This window comes from Homo sapiens, chromosome 9, assembly GCF_000001405.40.
Source record: "Homo sapiens chromosome 9, GRCh38.p14 Primary Assembly".
Lineage (NCBI taxonomy): Eukaryota > Metazoa > Chordata > Mammalia > Primates > Hominidae > Homo > Homo sapiens.
In genome coordinates, this window is record NC_000009.12 from 35853304 (window position 1) to 35876838 (window position 23535).

Genomic DNA, 23535 nt, shown 5'->3' on the forward strand with positions numbered 1-23535 from the left:
GTGCTGGGCCCCAGGTATCTGGTCCCCAGTTTAAGGTGGGCTTGGCTCTGTCGTCATCACCTGCTGCTGGCAGTGTCCGCTCCAGTCTTGGCAGGTGTCTTTAGGTCACAACCAGGATACAGAGGAAACCTGAGAGTGACCAGCTCTGGCTTGGGTTCCAGGGCTTGGCATTCCTGAGCCCCACTTCTCTGTCTCCCCCAGACAGTACGCAGCGTCCGCCGCCGGCACTGCTACCCACCCACGTGGCGCCGCTGGCTTTTCTACTTGTGCCCTGGCAGCCTTATTGCAGGCAGTGCCGTCCTGCTTTATGCTTTTGTGGAGACCCGGGACAACTACTTCTACATTCACAGCATTTGGCATATGCTCATTGCGGGCAGTGTGGGCTTCCTGCTGCCCCCTCGTGCCAAGACTGACCACGGGGTCCCATCTGGAGCCCGGGCCCGGGGCTGTGGTTACCAGCTATGCATCAACGAGCAGGAGGAGCTGGGCCTCGTGGGCCCAGGAGGGGCCACTGTCAGCAGCATCTGTGCCAGCTGAGAGGGGCTTTGGGCCTGGCCCTGAGGGGATATGAATGCTTCCTAGAGTTCTTTCTGGGGGTGTGGAGCCCTCTTAGAAGGAGACAGGCTGTATTTCTTGAGGACATGGAGTCTTTCTCAAGGACACAAAACTCTTCCAGGGACCTGGAGCCCTTCCCAGGACATGGAGAACTTCCTGAGGGCCTGGAGTCCCCCTGCATCATGGAGTCCTTCTTAAGGACTGGAGCCTATGCAGGCACAGAGTCCCTCAGGACCAAGGAGTCCCTCCTGCAGGTGTGGAGCCTTTCCTGGGATGCAGAGCCTTCCCAAGACATGGATTCCTTCCCAGGGAGACAAAGCCCTGTCAGGAGCACAGCATCTTTCCAGAGGAGGTGGAGTCTATCTTGGGGAAACCAAATTTCCAGATTTTCCCAGAGGCTCAGCAACTCTGGCCTCAGGCTTCCTTCCCAGAGGCAGCGTCTGGGCTGTGCTGTGCTGTGGAGGAGGGATTGCAGGATGGATGGAGCTGGGACTGGGGCTGTCTGGGTGGCTGGTATCCTCGTTTGATACAGGTGGAGTCTGTGTGTCTCCAGTGATTGATTGGTTCAGAATGGTTCTGTGATGCCTTTTTTCCCCCTGGGGTCAGGGGTGTGGGGAAGTGGGGAAAGAGGGCCCCTCAGGGAATCAGCAGGGCTGATGGGAGCTACTGCCGGAGGCTTTTGTCACACCCTGTACACAGTCTGATCCCGCTCATCTGGGCCCTGCATTCATTTCTAAACAGTTTCTAATGCCTATTCCCCAATTCCTATTGAGCCCGATTTGCAGTATCTGAGGGGTGTGTGTGTGTGTGTGTGTGTTTATGTATGTATACGTATGCTGAGATGATTTAAATCAGTGAGACAGACTTTCCTTATGATGCCCACACCCAACACAGAAGGAAGCCGAGGTCCCAGGAAATTGGAATAGCAGGTACACGTCTCAGGTGTGCAAGAAATATCACAAGAATGTAACTTCTGTTTTGAGCCCCCATTTTTCCTGAGTGCCAGAAAAGATCATTTGTCCATTTGGGATTCCTTCTCTTTCCATGAGGGTCATAGCTGAGTTCTGAGGGTCTTACATAATGCCAAGAAGTTGGGAGAGCATTCTCACTGATCACCAGTGTCCATACTTCATCCATCCCCGGGATTTCCATCATTCCATCTGGTCCCCAGTCAGAGGTCCAGACAGTTCATCTGGGATGCAGAGAGATTTCTTGTTCCCATTTGCATTACTCTCTCAGTCCTAAGGTTCTCTCTGCCACTTCTGGGCCATATGTGGAGACCCGTAAAGTTGTCTAAGGCCTTGGCTATGCAGACACACCTTGAAGCTGTTTCTGCTCTGGGTTTTGACAGACAAGGCATGAGTTGCTGCATCTGTTAAAACTGCAAATCTATCTTGGCCTGGGGTGTGGAGCTCAGGGACTCTTCCTTTTGGGACCCTCTGTGTCAGTATTCTCACTACATCCTCTCCTCCTCTCTCTTCTTTCCCCCTTTCGTTAATATTGGAGGTGAGGAAGCCTTACTTAATGTTTTCTCCTGAATCTTTTTTTTTTTGAGACGGAGTTTTGCTCTTGTTGCCCAGGCTGGAATGCAATGGTGCGATCTCAGCTCACTGCAACCTCTGCCTCCCGGGTTCAAGTGATTCTCCTGTCTCAGCCTCCCGAGTAGCTGGGATTAGAGGTGTGCACCACCAAGCCCAGCTAATTTTTGTATTTTTAGTAGAGATGGGGTTTCTCCATGTTGGTCAGGCTGCTCTCAAACTCCCGGCCTCAGGTGATCCACCCGCCTCGGCCTCCCAAAGTGCTGGGATTACAGTTGTGAGCCACCGCGCCTGGCCTCTCCTGAATCTTTTATCTATGCCTTAAGCCTTTTCTGTTCCCTTCAGGACCTAGGCTTTTGAAACCCAAAAGCCAGGAAAACATGCCTTTGTTATCTGCTTTCTGCAATCACGTCTCTTCCATGGGGCACTGAGCAGAGAATGGTGTGGCCAAGTGAGTAGTGAGAAGCAGTGAGGAGGTGTGAGCTAGGTGTCTGTTCCCATTTTAGAAAATACTGTTCCTACATCAGAAATACCACATTAAGACGTATAGAGCCAGGTCACTGGGATGCTTGAACCCAAATAGCTGGGATTCTGGACAGAGTCAGCAGAGTACAGAAGGCTCTGAAGTGGGAGACGGAGCTGGGGTGCATCCCTCCCAGTGAGGAGGGGTCATGAGGGGCGTCTGGGAAGAGGGACATTTGAACTAGGATTAGCTGAGTTGCCATGATGCTAAGATAATGGGAGAGTGTTCTTTGTGGTCACCAGTGTCCACATGGCATCCCTTCCCTGAGATTTTCATCACTCCCTGTGGTCTTCAGTCAGTAAAGCTCTTAGAACACTTGTATAGTGCCTAGTCTGGTATGTGATGTGGTCCAATATATGTTAGCTTAAGGTCACCACGTGTTTGGACATGGAGAGGGAACAGCAAGGGGGAATGCAGAGGCAGGAAAGACTGATATTTACTCCGGGCACTGAATAGTTCAGTGTGCCTGGGCCAGTGCATGTGCGCATGCTTTTGTGTGTGGAGTGGGGTGGTGGAGGTAAGCAGCCAATGATATGATTAGATAGATAAGTGGAGGTTGGGTCTTTATTCTATGGGAAATGAGGAGCCATTGGAGAGATTAAGCAGGAGAGGAACATCAGATTGGGGTTTTGATGGCTGGGGCAGAGGATGGACTTTGGGAGACCTTGGAGGACAAAGTGCAGTGACCACAGCTATTGGAACATTTGAAAGAGAAATGGTGAAGCCTTCTTAAAGCAATATCGGTGGAAAGGAGGGGACCAATTTAAGAGCTGTTAGGAGTGAACTCTTTAGGACTTGGTGACTGATTGGGTGTGTGGGGTGGTGAGGTATGAGAGAGCCTAGGATGATGGTGATATTCTGATTTGGGGATGGTGGTGCCATTCCCTGAGATGGTGACACCACTTTGGGTGGGGGGAAGATGAGCTCCACTTTGGACAGTTTGAGGTGCATGTGGGATTCCCGGAGGGAAGGGGGCCAGCAATATGACAGTGCTGGACGTAGCCGCTGAACCAGGCCTGTCTCCAGGCTCCCAAAATGGGAATCCTTGGTTGTCTCCTGACTTGTCTCAGTGGGGGAGATCCCAAGATTCAAACAGCCCTTCCTTGCCTTGAATACAGGGCTGTGGCTGGCAGATATTGCTGTACCCTTGCATGTATCTGTACATACGACTGGACTGAGACCCCTGAGCACTTGCAGCTGCCTGGGGCATGTTCAGCAGCACAGGGCTCAATCCCCACAGGGTGATGTTCTGAAAGCTTCTGAGTGACAATTCAGTCCCGCAAACCTTCCATAGGGAACATGCTGTGGGAGCTACAGAGATGAGCCAGACCCGACTGAATCCTGCCCTGAAGGAGCTCACACGGTGGTGAAGTGTCATGAATGCAAGTTAGATGGGACAAGTGTGAAGTGGAAGATCCTGACAAAGTGCTGTAGGATGTAAAGAGAGCGATCTCAAAGTGCAATGGGAAAGGATGCATGAGAGAGATGGTGTCTAACCTAGCTTTGAAAACTAGTCCCAGCTATTATCAGAGAACAGCACAATACATACAAGGGTGCGAAGACATGGGGGTGCGGCAGTACAGATAATGTAGCGAGGGGACAGCCATGTGAAGGGCATAGTGGAAAATCAGGCTGAAGAAGCAGGTGGGGGCAGATTCTGGAGGGCCTTGAGGATTCAACTGAAGAATTTGGACTTAATGGTAATGGGAGCTGTCAAAAGTCCTTGATCAGAAGAGTGATGAATCAATCCAGGTTTGACCAAAGTAACAGAACCACTATGAGTGATAAAAAGATTAGACCTTTACAGTCATGGGAGCAGTTGGAGAAATCTGTGCAAAACTGTTACTTCTGCATTTGGTGTTGGGCCTGAAGCTGTTACAGCTCAGCTGGGCCAGCAGTTAGGAAAGAAGGCTGAGTGTGAAGTGAGGGGCAGTAAGGGCACACTAGAATCCAGAAGGACAAACTGGAACCTGTGCCTGGCTCTTATGCCTTCAATCTCAGTGACTGGTGACCTGCAGGAGAAGCTGTCACCTTTGCCATGGAGCTTGCACTTGGCCCAGCACTCAGCACAGTGGAAGGAGGTGACCTGGTGGGGACTGGACAGGCTGTGCTAATGGGGAGCCAGCAGATGAGCAACATGGGGGTGCCCTCACTGTGTCTGGTGCTGTTCCATTTTTTTTCTTTCTTTCTTTTTTTTTTTTTTGAGACGGAGTCTCACTCTGTTGCCCAGGCTGGAGTGCAGTGGCGCCATCTCAGCTCACTGCAGCCTCCACCTCCCAAGTTCAAGCGATCCTCCCTAGTAGCTGGGATTACAGGTGCACCACCACACCTGGCTAATTTTTTGTGTTTTTAGTAGAGGCAGGGTTTCATCACATTTCCCGGGCTGGTCTCGAACTCCTGGCCTCAGGTGATCCTCCCACCTCGGTCTCCCAAAGTGCTGGGATTACAGGTATGAGCCACCACACCTGGCCCACTTTTGCCTTCCAAATCACATGCAAACTTCTCTGTGGCCAACCCTAACCCACACCCTCTAACCTAGTTTGGTTGACTCAGTATAAAGCTACCACACGTGAGCTAACCAGAGCTTTCTTGGGACGATTAACTTGGCAGCAGCCCGTGAAGGATAGATGGTCAGGATAAAGAAAGCCAAACCTCCCATAGCTCTTGGGTTGACACTGTCAGCTGGTGTGGTAGTCATTAGGCCATTCACAAATCTCTCTGTCCCTCTCGTTTGCCATCCAGACACACGATAGTGTGCTTTTCCCCCTTAACAATAGGTGTGGTCCTGTGCCTTCCTGTTGCCATTGTGTTGGCCACTGAAATGTAGGTGGAGGCAACACAGCCACTTCTGAGTAGAAGCTTTAAGAGTCAGTGTAGGCTTTGTTACTTTCCCTTTTCTTTTTGTCATGGTGACCAGCAGTGTTCCCAATGGTAGCTGTTTTGTCATCCTGAGTCCCAGAGGGGTGAAGACCATGATGCGGAGCAGAAGCCCCACCAGCCTCTGGTGGACCTGCATCAGGAGCAAGAAACAAACCTTAATGGCTTTAAGCCTCTCAAGGTTTGAGGTCATGACCACAGCACAACCTAGCCTATGCCAGCTGACAGGGGCAGAGGGCAGCAGTAGCAGTGGGATGCTTTCCTGGAGAGCAAACCTCCTCTCAGCAGAGTTAGGACGGCAGCTTTCACCTCTGCATTCCTCAGGCTGTAAATGATGGGGTTCAGCGAGGGCGTCACAACCCCGTAGAACAATGCGACAGTCTTATCCACGTTGGGATCCTTGGCCTTGGGTTTGAAGTACATGAAGGAGATTGTCCCATAAAAAACCACCACCACTGTGCGGTGGGCTGAGCAGGTGGAGAAGGCTTTGCACCGGCCTGCAGCAGAGGGTACCCTAAGGATGGCAGACAGGATGAAAAGGTAAGACAGGCAGATGAGCAAGAGGGGGGCCAGTGTCAGGACGGCTGTGGCCACCATTAATGCCAGCGCATTGAGGGAGATGTCCCCACAGGCCAGTTTTAGCACTGCCAAGATCTCATAGAAGTAGTTGATGACGTGGCCACAGAAGGGGAGGTGCCAGACAAGGATGGACTGTAGCAGTGAGTTGGCAAAGCCTGTCCCCCAGCTCAGCGCTGCCATCTGCATGCAGGTCTGCCCACTCATGAGCTCTGGGTACCTAAGCGGCTGGCAGATAGCCACATAACGGTCATATGCCATCACAGCCAGCAGCAGGCACTCCGTTGATCCCAGCGCCAGGGTCAGGTACATCTGCAGGGCACAGCCAGGGAAGGAAATGGTCCTCTGGGTTTCCAGGAAATTGTCTAGCATGAGAGGCACAAAGGAGGAGGTGCCGCAGATGTCCATGAGGGAGAGGTTGCTGAGAAGTACATGGGGTTGTGCAGGCGAGGGTGCAGCACGTTCAGCCCTATGAGGAGGGCGTTCCCCAACACATTCACGGAGTAGATGCCCAGGCAGAACACAAACAGGACCACCTCCAGGTTACAGTGCTCGTGTAGCCCCATCAGGACGTATTCCGTCACAGCTGTCTGGTTTGCCCACTTCATCTCATTCTCTCTCCTTTTCCATCTGGACCACCCAGCTTTTTGGAAAAAGCTCCAACTGGCCTGGGAGCCCAGTGACCTGATGTCTGAGCTGCAGCAGGTCAGCCTCCCTCTCTGGAATTTAGTTTCACCATCTGTATAATGAGGGAGTTGGACTTCAGATCTGCAATCTGGCCTTCTCAGCGCTGCAGTTCTGTGGACGTCACTGAGGGGAGGATGGGGCACATTCTAGTCCCCTAGGCTCCTCTCTGCTCTCCCCAGGATGGGGTCAGAGGAGACAGCAGAGAAAGATTCATGTTTAAAATGATCGTTTGGAATCCAAAGTGTTTTTGGTCATTAACAGGAAGCATCTTTTCTACATTACGGTTTCATGTGACCAAATTATGGCCATAGTATTTCAGATTTATTCATCCACTAAGTATTTATTAAGTACCTATTCTGTGCTAGGTATCAGGTGCTGGGGCTATAGCAGTAAGGAAAGTAAGTGGACAAAAGGATTCCACACCTGTCACAGGCGCTGCCCCACTCCCTGAGTCAGGTGAGATGAGCTCCGGAAGGCAGGTGGGTAATGGATGATGCTCACCTAGTGTTCCTTGGGCCATGAAGATCAAATATTTCAGCCCCATAGGATGTGTAAGCTTGATTTCTGGTCATCTCTCCTTAAGGAATCATGGACCATTCATTATTTTGTTTAAAAGGACACATAAGAACGTACATGTCTCAATAGAGTTACTGGTCACAGGACTGAACTGTGGTCATGAAAGCCAAGCAACTTACTTTCTGGCCTCCATATTGCTTTGTAGGAGAAATGATACTGACAATGATGTCACACGAGGAGGGAAGCCAGGCACGAATCTGGTGGAGGTGCGGTCAGTTGTGACCAGCTTTGCAAAGGGAGCGGTGGGCGAGGCTGTGGTCTCTCCCAGGTGACCTCCATCGCCATGCAGAGCTGCTCTCACTTCTCCTCGGGAAAGGCCAGCGTCAGGTATTCCTAGGAGGAAGCCCAGGTGTGTCCAGAGAACAGTAGTCTTGTTAGAACTGGAAAAATGTCTTATGGCCAGGTGGCCCCTGGTCTGAAGGAAAAATAGGAGCTGAGTGTGAACTTTTATCACTCAGAAGATATAATCCACCTCTCCCCTCCTGCCCTTCGCTCCTGGGTTGGTTGTGAGGACAGTGCTTTGTGACAGCAGTGGAGCCCTGTCTGTCCTTCCGGGCTAGATTTCTTCTTTCTCTTATTCCTCCTGTTTCGTTGTATCCACGATTTGTCGAGTTGCAGGGCTCACCCTTTCCTGAAGAAACCATCTCTTTTCCCAGCTCCGCACCTTTGTCCGAGATGGAGGCGTGTCCTCCCGCCCATCCCCAGTGGGGGGTGTTCTGCCCATTCTCCAGAGCCCAGCACTGCTCCATCTCTTTTCCTCCCTCTCCTTCCCCTTGCTGTTACCTGCTGCCTTCTTGTGCTCCCACTGCCCTTGGCCATCCCTCTGTGTCATTGTGCGCTGTGGTGCACCTGTCTTCTCTACTACACCTTAAGAGCAGGACTCTGCCTCCTTCCTACCAGCACCTCATGCAGCAAGTGCTGCCAATAGCAGGCACCCAGCAGATAGCGAATGCACGACTCCAAAACCCAGCTTTGCCTCCTGGCTGTAGTTCAGACTAGCTGTGTGACACTGACCAAGACACTTGACCTCTCTCAGACTCAGCTTCCTCCTTGAAGACTGGGATGCTATGTAGCTCAGAGGAAACATACACCTGAAGGTGCTGCCCCGGGGGGTGCAATGACCTGTTACTGAGGCTGGATGGAGGATGGCATCCATCATCAGCTACAGGTGCCTCCTCTATCTACAGGTTCCTGCTCCATCTATACTAGCCACCTCCTGGACAAGGGCTCCAGTGTCCTCCATGACACCAGCTTTCTCCAGAGCCTGTGCAGGATTTCCTTCCTCTACCCTGAATCAGGGTGATTCTTAAAGGACAGTTTCAGGAACATATAGGGGCACTTGGGTAATCTTGGTCAGTAACTGACCTTTAACTATCATCCATGTGAACATCTACAGTTAGGGATTTTCTTGGTGATGTTTGGCAAAAAGTAAAGAATTCCCCAAGTGTGAAGCCTCATTCATTCACTTATTCAACAAATAGTTATTGAGCACCTACTATGTGTTAGGCCCTGGGCCAGGTGCTGGGAATACAGCAGAGACAGACCTGGCTCCTGCCCTCATGGAGTTTGCAGTCATTCATTCACTCACTCGGTGACTTTGGACACCTCCCCCTCCTCTCTCCAGGCTTTAGATCTCTGAGATTCTCTCTGAGTCTGGGATGTAAAGACAAAGTAAAACCTGAAATCTGGAAAGCAGAACTATAAGAGCTTTGTTTCTGATGGGGGTGTTGCTGCAGACAGAACTATGTCCATCTCAAATTCTGACACTGGACACAGGCGTGGGGGTTTCAAGCAGGCCAAGGGTGGGAAACCACCTGACTGCATTTTTCTTTATCACTCACACCTCTAACAGTAAGACCAAGTGGGCCTGGCGGAGGCATTTGAGGGCTTTTGTGTGTGCAGGCTCTGGCCCGTCCTCCTGCCTTGCCTCCACCGCATCCCTCATGCACACCTGCTGCAGCCTCATCAGACCACTCCCTGTCTTTTGGACAAAGCCTGTGTGCTCCAGTCCCATCCCTCTTCTTGGGCAGTTTCTTCAGGCTGGAGTGCCTTTCTTTTCTACTCATCCTTCAAGGCTCAGTTCACACACCACTGTCTCGTGCAGCCTTCTCTCAGATGGCTTCATAAAACTGACCACCCGGACAACAAGATGGTCACACAGCTATTAGTGGAGGTTAAGTTCATTCTGCCTTCATTATAGTTCATTTTTCTTGTATATCTCTCTCTGACTAGACTATGAGCTATTGCAGTGAAAGGGCTGTGTCCTTCATCACTGTCACCCTCCAGTGACCCGCAGCCAGGAGGTGTCAGTGATTGCCATTTGAGTTGAACTATTTATTGACATCCAGTGTTGTTCTGCCAAAAATCCTGATCCTAGGCATGGTGGTTTGCACCTGTGGTCACAGCTACTCAGAAGGCTGAGGTGGGAGGAGTACTTGAGCCCAGGAGTTCGAGGTTACAGTGAACTATGATTGTGCCACTGCACTCCAGCCTGGGCAACAGAGTGAGGCCCTTTCTCTAAAAAAGCAAACGAAGAACGCTGAACCCAAGGTCTTGCCTCAAAATCAATTCCCCCTTCCCCCTCCAACACATACACCGCAACAGAATGATACAGCTATTGTGATTGCTAGGAGAAGGGCTTTGGGCAGTGCCAGTCTCCTGTTTGCAGTAACACCTGCTCTTTCTGAAGAGCTACATCAGTAACATGGTGGGTTTTCCTCACAACTTAAAAGTCTGATCGTAACACATTCATGGAAACTAGAACCAGCACACGAAACCATTGGCTTGTGGCCCTAAAGAAATAACTCTGTGTCCAGAAAATGCCATGTTACCAGGTTGCCTACAGCTTTGCCTGTAACATGGGCACAGGCTGGGACATCAGATAGAAGCTGGTTCCCATGGTGGCTGGGTTGGGATGGGCTAAGTTATGTTGCAGTAACGTACAACCTCATCATTTTAGTGGCTAGCATGACGAAGTTTTATTTCTCATGCTACATGTCTACTGTGGCTTTCCCGGTGGCTCAGGGTTCTCAGAGCCCCTGGCAGATGGAGGCTCCACCCTGTGGGACGTCACCAGTTGTTATGGCTGGGGAAGGACACACTGGAGGCTCTTGCTGCTCTGAGCCACAGGAGACATTTGTCATATCTGCACACAGCCCACTGGCCCTGCGGCATCCTACCACCTGCCCAGAAGGAGGAGAACCAGAATTACTGCTGAGCAGCTCCTCTGCATGTGGGTGCAATGGCGTCTTATGACTCTCAGAAAGCTACTCTAGTGGCCATCTACCAGTGTCACGCAGTGTCACGCTCGGTCATGGCCTGGAAGATCAGAGTCACAGAGGGATAGGACCTGGAGTGTCTCTGAAAATAGCTGCCTGGTTTCACTCCCCGGTTTTACGCCTCTTGAGAAGCAGAGTGATGCCTAGAATGAGCCCTGGACTGGGAGGGCACGTCCCAGGTTTGAATCGGGGCCTTTGTTCCTTTTCTGCTGTATGACTTTGGTCAGATTTCTCCTTCTGAGAAGTGGAGCCAATTAAGCGATCTCCGATATGCTGTAATCTCTGAAACATTTCCTCATATGTTTCTAGCAACTTCCAACCTGAGGTCTGATAGACCCAGGGTTACTTTGCAAGCTAACTGACATATCAGTCTCATTGTCTGGTAAATCTAATTTTAACCACTTAATACTTATTTTAGGCTTCACAAATTATTTTAAAAGAAAAGATAGGGGCATAACAAGAAGAAAGCTTCGGTTACAATTTCCCCGAAATGCCTGGATCTGGGATTCCTGCTTCCTGGCTGTGTGGCAGAGAAGATGAGGATGGCCCTGGAGTCAGACGGGACTAGGGTCCAAGCCCCAGCTCTTCCACTTGTTAACAATGTTCTCAGCCTCAGCTTCCTTACCTATACCATGGAGACGGCAGTATTTCCTTGTGGGCTTGTTTTAAGGATCCAGTGACAGGAAGCATGCGAAGCTCTTAGAACAGAGCCTGGCACTGGTAAATAGTCAGTGAGCAGTAGATGATATTATTACCATCCTGTCCCTATCCCTGTCCCCCAGCAAATATTTTGGCTTTTAAATGTTTTAAATGATTTCTTGAGAATAAGCAATGGGTCAGATGAAATCTCCTTACCTCTCACCTACTGGCCATGGCCTAAATGTCTGTAGGGAGCTGGAGCCAGGTGAGGGGAGCTGTGGTTTGGGAAGTGCCGAGTTCATTATGAGCAAGTGCACGGTGCTGGGATGGGCTAGGTTCCCCGCACCTCGCCCTGCCACTGCCTCCCAGGACCTGCCTCTTGCTCCCCTGCCACATAGACAGTCTGCTTGCCCCCTGCTTTCAGGGACCTCATGGTCCCTGCCCAATTTAAAGTTCAAACTCTGCAACTGCACAAAGTTGCAGGCTTGGCAGCTGTGGGACCTGGGCTTCAGAGACTCCAGGTTCCTCGGCCTGCCCCAGGAGGGCCCTGCTGAGGTGAAGTGGGCATAGGAGAGAGAGTGGACAGAGAATCTGAATACTGGGTCACGTTGCAGTTCTGCGCCTTGGATGCCATAGGCTCCAGGCCCATAAGCCCGGCTTCACTAGGCCTGGGTGTCTGGGTTGTGAAATGGGGTGTCTCCTTCCAGGATTGCCGTAAGGACCTGGATTCATCAAAGCTTAAAGTAAATTGCTTTGTAAGGTGGGAGACACCGAGTACAGGCGAGGGACTTTATTAGGTCAGGGATTTAATCAGGCATCTGTTTTTACAGATTTCTTTATTCCTGTTCCCTCCCCTCCCCTTCCTGTCCTTTCACAATAAAGAATAACAACTTGACACAGCTTAGAGACTAAAAATCATCCTTCAATAAAGCAGCAGAAGTTGCAAAGTTTCCTATGATGCTATAATTTGTCTTCTGGAATTTTTTTATCAAGAACATAGGTCGAAGTAAAAAATGGAAAAGTTGCTACTGTTGATTTTCTATCTGCTCATAGCATATTGTCCTCTTGCTGCCCCACGGATACCCTGAACTCAGCAGGTCGAAGACAAACTCACCATCTCCCCACTTCCCCCATCTACTGTGCTCATCCTCCCCATGCAGTGTCTCAGTCTACCCCAAATAAACCAGAAACTCAGGACCTGCCCACGGTCCTCACCTCTCCCTCCTCCACCTCTATAATCCCAAAATATCTTCCAAATATTATTTTACATATATATACAGTTGACCCTTGAATAACATGGATTTGAACTACATGAGTTCACTTATACTTGTATTTTTCAAAAAATATATTGGGAATTTTTTTTTGAGATTTGCTACAATTTGAAAAAACTTGCAGATGAACCGCCACCCCTGAGACAGCAAGACTAGTCCCTCCTCTTCCTCCTCCTCCTACTCAACATGATGTTGACAGTGATGAAGACTTTTATGATGATCCGTTTAATAGATAGGAAATCTATGTCTCTTCCTTATGACTTTCTTAATAACATTCTCTTTTCTTTAGCTTTATTGTAAGAATACAGTATATAAAACATATAACATACAAATTATGTGTTAATCGACTTTATGTTATTGATAAGGCTTCCAGTCAACAGTTATACATGGATTTTTTTTTTTACAGTGAGGAGAGTTGGCACCCCTCACCCCCGTGTTGTTCAGGGGTTAACTGTAATCCCAAATATTATATCTCTAGCTCCCAAATGTTATTTTGCATCTATATCTATCTCCCCAATATTTCTTGGGGCCACCCTCTCCTTTACTGCCCAGCCAGCTCAGGCCTCACTGAGGGCCTGGGTGACTACAGCAGCTTCCTCCCTTCCCTGCCCTCAGGAGGAAGCCTTTCTCATCTGTCGTCTACTGCGGGCAAGGTGGTCTTCCACATACCATTATTTTTTAAGTTCAAAGTCATGGTCATCATAGAAATATTGGATAATATTGAAAATAATAATTTAAAAAACAGTACTTATCTGTAACCCTGTCACCCAAAGGAAACAACTGTTAGTTAATATTTGGTCATCGTTTTCCAGTATTTCCTAGATACTGACTTATTCATAGATCTGTAAGAAAAATACTTAAAAAGTTAAAATTGAGATCATACTAAAATACAATGTTATGTGTTCTGCTTTTTTTTTTTCTAGTTACTTTACGAGTATTGCCCATTATCATATACCCTTCAAAAAATAAGATTCCTGGCCAGGCATGGTGGCTCATGCCTGTAATCCCAGCACTTTGGGAGACCGAGTTGGGAGGATCGGTTGAGCCCAGGAGTTCAAGACCAGCCTGGGCAACATAGCGAGACCTCGTCTCTATTAAAAATAAATTAGCTGGACGTGGTGGCACATGCATGTAGTCCCAGCTCCTCAGACGGCTGAGGTGGGAGAATTGCTTGGGCCCAGGAAGTTGAGGCTGCGGTGAGCCAAGATTGTACCACTACATTCCAGCCTGGGTAACAGAGTGAGACCCTGTCTTGAAAAAAAAAAAAAAAAAACAGATTCTTAACGGCTGCATCACATACTGTCATTGGACTCCACCGGGATTTGTTTAAATATTCTTCTATGGTTGAACATTAAGATTATTACAGTTTTTTTGTTACTACAAATAATGCTGTTATTAATATCCTTATGTCCAAATCTTTGTGCCCTTTATTATTTACTTAGACTGGATTCCTAGAAGTAGAGGTGTTGGGTCAAGGGGTCTGGAAGTTTTGAAGGCCCTTGATTCATATTTCCAACTTACTTTCTAGGAAGTTCATATTAAATTATCCCCATTTCCACCAGCAGTGTATGACACTGCCTACTTCACCACATGGTACCTAACAGTGGACATTGTGTTAAACAAGAGAGAGAATGGTATCTAATCAGTGACCTTGCTAAAAGTCAATCTGATTGTAAACCCCCAGAGCCCACAGAATAAAACCCAAACCTCTGTGATGTATCCATGGCCCAGCAGAATGGCATGGCCACTGGCATGGCTACTGGCAGCCTTCTCTCAGGCGTGGTCAGAGAGGCTTGGGTATCTCTCACTCCTCTAGCCATGCTTCTCTGTGCCTCTGTTCTGGCCAGCAGAGGAAGCAGGGAGAAAGCCCTGGGAGGGGAATTCAGGCCTCATGCAGGGGCTGTGCTTACCTGTAGCCGGGGGCAGGAAAGGTGGACTGCTGCTTGCAGGGCAAGCCCAGTGCTCCCATCGTACAGATGGTACCATGGAGGCCAGGGCAAGGCAGGGAATGGAAATGCTCCGTGAATCTAGGTCAGTGTCCACTGCCTGTGCACTGAGTTATCAGAAAGAAAAGCTGGAAGAGGCTGAGCACCAGGCAGGGGCAACTATGGCAGGGTCCCAGGGCATGAGGTGAGGATGGGTAAAACAAGCTTCCTCAAGCCAGGTGAGGCCTGGATCCCAAGAAAGGGAGCACTGGAAGCTGCTGCTGCTGCTGTTGCTGCTGGGCGGGGTGAGGTGGGAGGAATGGGGTGGCTTCAGGCTTTGGGCTGGATGATTGGTGTCCCAGGGCCTGACAGGTCTGGGAATCTTGGACTTTGGGCCTTGTGATGGTTAATACTGAGTGTCAACTTCTTTGGATCGTGGGATACAAAGTATGAATCCTGGGTGTGTTCTGTGTGGGTGTTGCCAAAAGAGATTCACATTTGAGTCAGTGGGCTGGGGAAGGCAGATCCACCCTAATCTGGTGGGCATGATCTAATCAGTTTCCAGTGAATATAAAGCAGGCAGAAAAACGTGAAAAGGAGAGACGGGCCTAGCCTCCGAGCCTACATCTTTCTCCCATGCTGGATGTTTCCGTCCCTTGAACAATGGACTCCAAGTTCTTCAGTCTGGGGACTCGGACTGGTTCTCCTTGCTCCTCAGCCTATTGTGGAACCTTGTGATCGTGTAAGTTAATACTTAATAAACTCCTCTATCCTATTAGTTCTGTCCCTCTAAGAGAACCCTGACTAATACAGGCCTCATTGCTGCCTCTACTGTCACCTACCAGGGAAGCTGGGCCATTCTCGTCATCTGTGGACTCCGTCTCAGCTCTGCTCAGTTTTGGGAAGAACTCTAGGCTCTGCCATTGTCACCCCTACATTGACATGTTAATATCTCTATTTAAGAAACTTGTGCAGGGCCTAGAGTTGGGCAAGGCTGGACCTTGGGAGAGAGTAGAATCTGACACTCCCTGCTCTTGGAGTAATGCTGAAAACACAGAGGGGCACAGCAAGAGGAGCAAGGTGGGGTGGCTTCCTGGTGGAGGTGGCATTTGAGCTGGGCCTGAAGGGTCAGGCAGTCAGTCCTTTTACATATGGAGAAGTGTGCTGGGGATAGGGGAGGGGGTGCTGCCTCGTGGGGAGAAACAAGGAGAGCACAGAGCTGGGTGGTGCAGGGCATGTGGGGGCCACAACTGGCTGGTGTGTGTGGCTGTGAGGAGGGAGATGGGGTGGGAGGGGAGGAAGGCTGGGGAGCCAGTCAGGCAGGGCCAGCTTGTGAGGGCCTCAAATGCCCCACTGAAAAGCTTCCACTTTGTTCTGAGAACAGTGGGGAGCCACCTAGGGATTTCAGTGAGAAGAGTGATGCAATCACATGTGCATTTCAAAAAGATGCCCCATGAAGGAGAGATTGGAGGGAGGAACAGGACTGAAGTCTTGGGACCAGCCAGGAGGCTGGTGTGAAGGCCAGGGTGATGCTGAGAGCAGAGGGTGATTTGGGGGCTGTTCTGTGGCAGGATCAGCGGGACTTGGTGCTGCCTTGCTGGGATGAAGATACCAGACCTGTAGCCCCAGCCCTGCCATGTCTTCACTGGCATTGGCATACGATGGCCTCAGCTACTAACCTGAGACCTGCGTCTGTACAGAGCCCCGCCCTCCCTCACCTGGAGGCCCGACTCCTGCCCCACACCTTCCTGGCGGCCTCCTTCACCTCCTTGTTCCTCAGGCTGTAGATGGTGGGGTTCAGCATGGTCGTGACCATGGCATAGAGGACTGTGAAGACCTCATCAGAGATGTGGGCTTCCTTACTCTTGGGCTTCAAGTACATGAAGATGATGGTGCCGTAGAAAAGCAGCACTACAGCCAGGTGTGCCAAGCAGGTGGAGAAGGCTTTGCAGCACCTGGCGGCCGAGGGCACCCTCAGGATGGTGGCCAGGATGAGCAAGTAGGACAGGCAGATGAATGCCAGGGGTACAGGCAGCAGCAGGATGGAGCCCGCCAGCAGGAAGTCTTCGCTGACCGACGTGTTGCCGCATGCCAGCTTCAGCACTGCCAGGATCTTGCAGGTGAAGTGACTGACCACGTGGTGGCCACAGAAGGGCAGCCTCATGGAGATGACCATCTCAGTCACCGACTTGAGGAGGCAGAGGACCCAGGCAGCTCCCATCAGCAGCACGCAGAGCCGGTGGCTCATGAGCACGTGGTACCTGAGTGGCTGGCAGATGGCCAGGTAGCGGTCATAGGCCGTGATGGCCAGTAGCAGGCACTCCGTGGAGCCCGTGGACAGGCTCAGACACATCTGGATGGCACAGACAGCAAAGGAGATGGTCTTCCGGGATGACAGGAGGTGGACCAGCATCAGAGGCACAAAGGTGGGCGTGTAGCAGATGTCCAGGGTAGAGAGGTTGCCCAGGAAGAAGTACACGGGCGTGTGCAGGTGGATATCTAGCACGCTCACCGCCATGATGGCTGTGTTCCCCAGGAGGGTCACCAGGTACATGGCTGAGCACAGAGGGAAGAGCAGATGCTCCAGGGCTGGGTAGCCAGAAAATCCTTTCAGAAAGAACTCGGACACCTCTGTTCTGTTGAGCGGCTCCATGCTGCAGAGTTCTGAAGAGATGGTCCACAGCTGGGATGGAAGGAGAGAGGGTACAGGGTGCGGGGAAGCTCACAGAGCCCTTTCTGGGACGAGGTGGACTGTCAGGATCTTTTCCAGCACTGCCACACTCACTGTCTGTGACGTCGGGCAATCCCTTTATCCTCTCTAGGCCTCAGTTTATCCATGTGAAAAATGAGCATTGATTTAGATCAGCATTCCCTGAGAGAATGTTAATGAGAACATTAGTAAGCAATCTGAAAAATCAATTTGAGACAACATTGGATTAATAAAAAATAAAGCTCTTTACTGCAGGACTTCTCAGAGCGTTTACTACGCTAATGTGATCTATGACTCCTGCAAAGCAATGTAGAACATCTGTACCCCAAACTTATTTGATCATGGATCCCCTTTTACAGAAAACCCATTAACCTACTGCAGATAAGTGTTCTATGAGCATAGTCTGGGAAACAGTAGGCTAGATCAACAGTTCTCAAACTTTAACATGCACCAGAATCACCTGGAAAGTTTGTTAAAACAGATTGTTGGGCCCCAAACCCAGTTTCTGACTCGGTGCGTCTGGGCGATGCTTCTGCTGCTGATGTAGGTACCACACTTTGAGGAACTAGTGGGCTAGGTGGTCTCTGAGCAGGTGGAGATTCTCCTGGCTTTAAGGAAGCCTCTGAGCCATCGCATTTGCTATTCCTTCTGTCTGGAATGTCCTCGGCCTGCAGTGGTCTGACCTGTCTCTTCAGGCCTACTCTAGTATCCATGAACAAAGCATACACCGTGCTGTGTGTTGGAGGGCTGCTGACCTTGAAGCCTATCGCTGGGCATGTTCCCCTGTCCCCTGCCCAGGGCCTGTTTCATTAGCTACCCTGTGTGGATTGGACCTTCACAATCTGCCTTCCTGTGGGTTTCCCAGCTAAAATCTGATGGAGCTTTTGGCCCAGCTCCAAACCCCTATGTTCTGTGGGCCAGAGCGAGGGCTGCTTTGACTTCATGAACTCCTAGGGTATTAGCATGGAACATGACCAGAGGCCAACTTGTTGGATCTCCCATTGTATAGATGGGGATGCTGAGGTCACACAACAGGTCTCTGGTGAGGTGAAGCTAGAATCCAGCCCTCCCAACAGTGTGACCCCTATACCATGCTCAGAGCAGGTGTATGCTTCTATTAGGTTTCAAACAATGCTTGTTCTTTTACCATTCTAGATGGATATCAGTGCCCCAGGTGCTGCCACAATCCTCTCACCAGCAAAAGAGCATGAGTCACCTCTCCTTAGTGTTCCAGGGTATCTGGCACGGTGTCATTAATCCCATGGGACACGATGCCAAATCCTGGGCCTGGGTGGAGCACAGTTCCTCTCAGTGCCTTCCTTGCAGGAGACCATTTCCGTCTTTTATTCCACCCTCACTTACTCATCCCAGAACCTAGAAGTAACTGAGGACCTGCTACATGTCAGGTGGTGCCAGATGTGAGGGAGCACTGATGACAGGTGTGCTCCCAGGCTGCTGAGTGCAAACCCTTCCTAGGCAGAGAGGACCCCCAAGTCTTCCATACCCAGCCTCACCGTCCCCCCACTCTTCCGTACCCAGCCTCACCCACCCCTCCCACTCTCCCATACCCATCCTTGTCCTCCCCCACCCTCCCATACCCAGCCTCCCCCTCCCCTGACTCTTCCATACCCAGCCTCACCCACCCTTCCCACTCTCCCATACCCAGACTCACCCTCCCCCCACTCTCCCATACCCAGCCTCACCCACCCTTCCCACTCTCCCATACCCAGCCTCACCCTTCCCTCACTCTTCCATACCCAGCCTCACCCACCCTTCCCACTCTCCCACTTTTCCAAAAGTAACTATTGTTATTAGTTTTGTGTATATCTATCCAGATACTTTTCTGGCCATTTGCATATGTATATCTATACATGGAAATAGGTCTTGTGACTTTTTAGTATGCTTTTTTGTTGCAGCTTTATTGAAGGATGGTTGATGTACAACTATATTTAAATCATATAATTTGATTAGTTTTAATGTATACAGTCATGAAACCATGACCACAATCAAGATAATGAACTTATCTAATATACCCACAATTTTTCTCATGCCCCTTGGTAATCCATTCCTTTCTTCCCCAACCAGGCAGCCACTGATTTGCTCTCTGTAACTGTAGATTACTTTCATTTTCTAGCATTTTACATAAAGGGAATTATGCAGAATGTACTCTTTTTAAAATCTGGCTTCTTTCACTCAGCGTGATTATTTTGAGAGTCATCCATGTTGTGTGAATCAATGGTTAGTTCTTTTTAAAAATAGCATCTTTATTGAGCTATAATTCAAACACCATGCAGCCGCCCATTTAAATTCACCCATTTAAAATGTACAATTCAAATACAAAACTATTGCATTGTACACTTTAAATGGGTGAGTTTAAAGTGTACAACGGGTGAATTTAAAGTGTACAATGCAATAGTTTTGAGTATCACCACAGTTGATTTTAGAACATGTTTATCACTTCCAAAGGAAGCCCATACCCTTTAGCCATCACTCCCCTTTTCCCCTCAACCTCCTCCAGTCTTAGGAAACCATTAATCTACTTTTTGTCTCTTTTGAGCTGCCTATTCTGGACATTTTACATAAATGAAATTATAAAATATGTTTCCCTTTGTGACTGGTTTCTCTTACTTAGCTTAATGTTTTCAAGGTTCATCTATATTGTAGCATGTATCAGGACTTACTTTCTTTTTATTGCTAATTAATATTCAGTTGTATGGATATACCACATTTTATGTGCCCATTCATCAGTTGATAGACATTTGGGTTGATTCCACTTTTTGACTGTTACGAATAGTGCTGCTATGAACATTTGCATACAAGTTTTTGTGTGGATGTATATTTTCATTTTTCTTGGATATTTTCTTAGGAGTGGAGTTTCTAGGTCATATAGAAACTCTATGTGTATATTTTTGGGGAACTGCCAGTTTCCAAAATGGAAAGTATCATTTTACTTTCCCATTTTACATTTCCCCAATATGTGAGGGTTTCAATTTCTCCACATCCTCACCAACAATTGTTATTATCTGCTTTTTAAATTATAGCCATCTTGGTTGGGTGTGGTGGCTCACGCCTGTAATCCCAGCACTTTGGGAGGCCGAGGTGGGCAGATCACTTGAGACCAGGAGTTCGAGACCAGCCCGGGCAACATGGTGAAACCTCGTCTCTACAAAAAATACAAAAATTAGCCGGGCATGGTGGCATGTGCCTGTAGTCTCCGCTACTTGGGAGATTGAGGCAGGAGAATAGCTTGAGCCCAGAAGGTTGAGGGCTGCTGTGAGCCATGTTCATACCACCCTACTCCAGCCTGGGTGACAGAGTGAGACCCTGTCTCAAAAAAAAAATTTATATTTATATATAACCATCATAGTAAGAGTGAAGTGGTATCTAATTGTGATTTTGATTTGCATTTCTCTAATGGCTAATGACATTGAACATATTTTCAAGTGCTCATTGGGTATTTGTATATCTTCTTTGGAGAAAAAAATAGGCTCTTTAGCCTATTTTAATTTTAATTTTTTTTCTTTGAGATGGGGTTTCGCTCTGATACCCAGGCTGGGGTGCAGTAGTGTGACCTGGGCTCACTGCAACTTCTGCCTTTTGGGCTCAAGTGATCCTCCCACCTCAGCCTCCCGAGTAGCTGGGATCACAAGCACACACCATCATACCCAGGTAATTTTTGTGTATTTTTGGTAGAGATGGGGTTTCACCATGTTGGCTAGGCTGGTCTCAAACTTCTGATCTCAAATGATCCAACTGCCTCGGCCTCCCAAAGTGCTAGGATTACAGGTGTGAGCCACTGCACCTGGCCTAATTATGTATTTACATTTTACTTTACATACGTAAGATCACAGCCAAGGAGGTTAACTATAATTTCAAATTTTATTACCAGCCACTTGTGCTATTTTATCACATTTGAAAATATTCACTCTTACTATATTTACTTTAAACAGTGATCTATAAATTTGTTTAGACAATAATAATTAAGGACCTTTTCTTCTTCAGAATGATAAAAAAATTAATGATGTATTGAAGATACTACTAAAGAAACTTTACTTTTGGAGTATGGCCTCTGCATTGAAGATCTGTAGGATTTTTTAAAATTAATTTTCAAGTCTTTCCATGACCTCTCTGTTCTAAGAAATATCATCTTTGTAATAATTTGTGTGAATACTTTACAAATCAAAAATTGATTCACAATACTGTACTACCATAATCACTAATTTTAAGTCTCTTAAACATTTTCTATATTACTTTTCTTGATTATAAAATGTCAATAATATGGGCATGCTCTTAATATAACAGAATATTTAATTATATTATTTTTCCCATCAACCCACCAGTCATTTATTAATTACATTGGCCATTTCCATTGATTGGCAGGAGGCTCTTCCATGAACATCTCCTATCATTTCCACTGTATCATTTTTCTTGCCAGACTTAGTTCATTTTCAGCCTGAAGAATCACCTCTTTTATTTGAACACCTTGAAGTTGGTCTTCTAATTTTTTAACATCTGGTTCTGCTTTAACCATAGCCAATTTCTCATCTGCAATCTGTTCTGTATACTTTCTATGTGCTGCTTTTTAAGGGGTTTGCTTAAGAACATCAAGGATCTTTGTGTACAATATTCTTAGCCTCTTACATTTTAGCAGACTGATTTTAGTTGCTTGTCTTGTGTGGACTCTTGCATACAGCCAATCCCATGAGGCCAGTGGTCTTCTTCAGCACACCTGCCATGACAGCGCCAATGAGCCAGTCGGATCTTCTTTAATTTCTTTCAACAATATTTTGTAATTTTTAGAGTATACATTTTTTCCAAGAATATAATTATATACATATTGTTTTATATGATTTCTTTGAAAAATAGGAGAAGAAATAAGAAATATGCACTTAAAACTGCCTTTTATAATTATATAATTACCTTTATCAGTGCTCTTTGTTCTATCATGTGGATTTGAATTTCCGTCTGTATTTGCTTGCTTTCAGCCTAGAGGATTTCTTTTAGTATTTCTTGTAAAGTGGGTCTGCTAGCAATGAATTCTCTTAGTTTTTGTTTATGTAGGTATGTCTTTATTTTGCCTTGGTTTTTGAAAGACAGTTTTTCTGTTTTTAATATTTTTGGTTGGCAGGCTTTTCTTTCAGTATTTTGAATATGTCAGCCTGCTGCCTTTTGGCTTCCACTGTTTCCGATAGGAAATCAGCTGCTAATCTTATTATCATTCCCTTGTATGTGATGAGTTATTTGTCTCTCACTGCTGTCAATGTTTTCTCTTTGTCTTTCAAGCACTTTTACTATTATATGTCTGGGGTGGATTTCTTTGAGTTTGTTGAGCTTCTTGGATGTGTAATGTTTTTCAACAAATTTGGGAAGTTTTCTATCATTATGTCTTCTAATACTTTTTCTGTTCATTTCTTTCTCTCCTCTCCTGGTAATCCTATCTCACTCATATGTTAGTACACTTAAGGGTGTTTCACATTTCCCTGAGGCTATGTTCATTTTTCTTTATCCCTTTTTCTTTCTGTTCTTCAGATTCTATAATCTCTATCGATCTTTCTTCAAGTCTGATGATTCTTTTGCCAGTTCAAATCTACTGTTGAACACCTCTAAGTGAATTTTTCATTTTGGTTATTGTATATTTAATTTTGGAATTTCCATTCAAAATAGTTTCTCTTCATTAATATCTCTATTTGATGAGAAATTGTCATCATAGCTTCCTTTACTCCCCCACCCCTCACCAGAGGTAGAATTGCTGAATCATATGGTTATTTTATTTTTAACTTTTTTGAGAAACTACCATACTGTTTTCCATTTTATATTTCCACCAACAGTGCACAAGGGTTCCAATTGCTTCATAGTCTCACCAACACTTGTTATTTTCTGTTTTTTTTTTTAAATAGCAGCCATTCTAATGGGTGAGATGGACTATCTTATTGTAGTTTTGATTGTATTACCTTAATGATTTAGTGGTAAACATTTGTTCATGTGCCTATTGTCCATTTGTATAGATTTTTGGAGAAATGTCTCTTTAAGTTATTTGCCCTTTTATTAATAGCACTGTGGTTTTTTTGTTTTGGGTTTTAGGAGTTCTCTCTATATTATGGATGTTAATCCCTCATCAGATACATAATTTATAAATATTTTCTCCCATTCTGTGGGTTGCCTTCTTACTCTGTTGACATAGTCTTGTGATGCACAAAATTTTAATATTTTCATGAAGTCTAATTTGTTGATTGTTTTCTTTTTTTTGCCTCTGCCTTTGGAGTCATATCCAAGAAATTATTGCCAAATTCAAATTCATGAAGCTTTTGCCCTGTGATTTCTTCTAAAAGTTTGATAGTTTTTGGTAGGTCTTTGGTCCATTTTGAATTTTTGTTTTGGTA

The 23535-nt window shown here is 47.4% G+C and overlaps 2 protein-coding genes and 2 pseudogenes across 17 annotated transcripts in view, besides 1 other annotated feature; 1 reads left to right on the forward strand and 3 right to left on the reverse strand.

Annotated features, from left to right (window-relative positions):
• TMEM8B (transmembrane protein 8B) overlaps nucleotides 1-12212 on the forward strand; it is a 36288-nt gene extending 24076 nt beyond the window's left edge. For 8 of the 16 annotated variants that reach the window (XM_011517901.3, XM_005251483.5, XM_047423467.1 and 5 more), the window contains one exon: nucleotides 206-2937. In XM_011517901.3, coding sequence (XP_011516203.2) covers nucleotides 206-571 — 366 coding nt within the window. In that variant the 3' untranslated portion in view covers nucleotides 572-2937. Of the gene's footprint in view, nucleotides 1-201 lie in introns of all 16 variants that reach the window. The other 8 variants (XM_011517902.3, NM_001042590.4, NM_001042589.3 and 5 more) reach the window with 2 other exon arrangements.
• OR13E1P (olfactory receptor family 13 subfamily E member 1 pseudogene) lies at nucleotides 5722-6677 on the reverse strand (annotated as a pseudogene).
• Nucleotides 11713-12212: an enhancer, noted in NCBI's record as "H3K4me1 hESC enhancer chr9:35865013-35865512 (GRCh37/hg19 assembly coordinates)". NCBI's record gives its function as "activates a minimal SCP1, AML or CMV promoter by ChIP-STARR-seq in naive H9 embryonic stem cells {active_cell/tissue: H9 hESC(naive)}" and the evidence as "EXISTENCE:reporter gene assay evidence [ECO:0000049][PMID:30033119]".
• On the reverse strand, nucleotides 16160-17098 carry OR13J1 (olfactory receptor family 13 subfamily J member 1). Its single transcript, NM_001004487.1, has one exon. It carries the CDS (start codon nucleotides 17096-17098, stop codon nucleotides 16160-16162), a length of 939 nt encoding a protein of 312 aa, NP_001004487.1.
• On the reverse strand, nucleotides 20964-21905 carry NDUFA5P4 (NADH:ubiquinone oxidoreductase subunit A5 pseudogene 4; annotated as a pseudogene).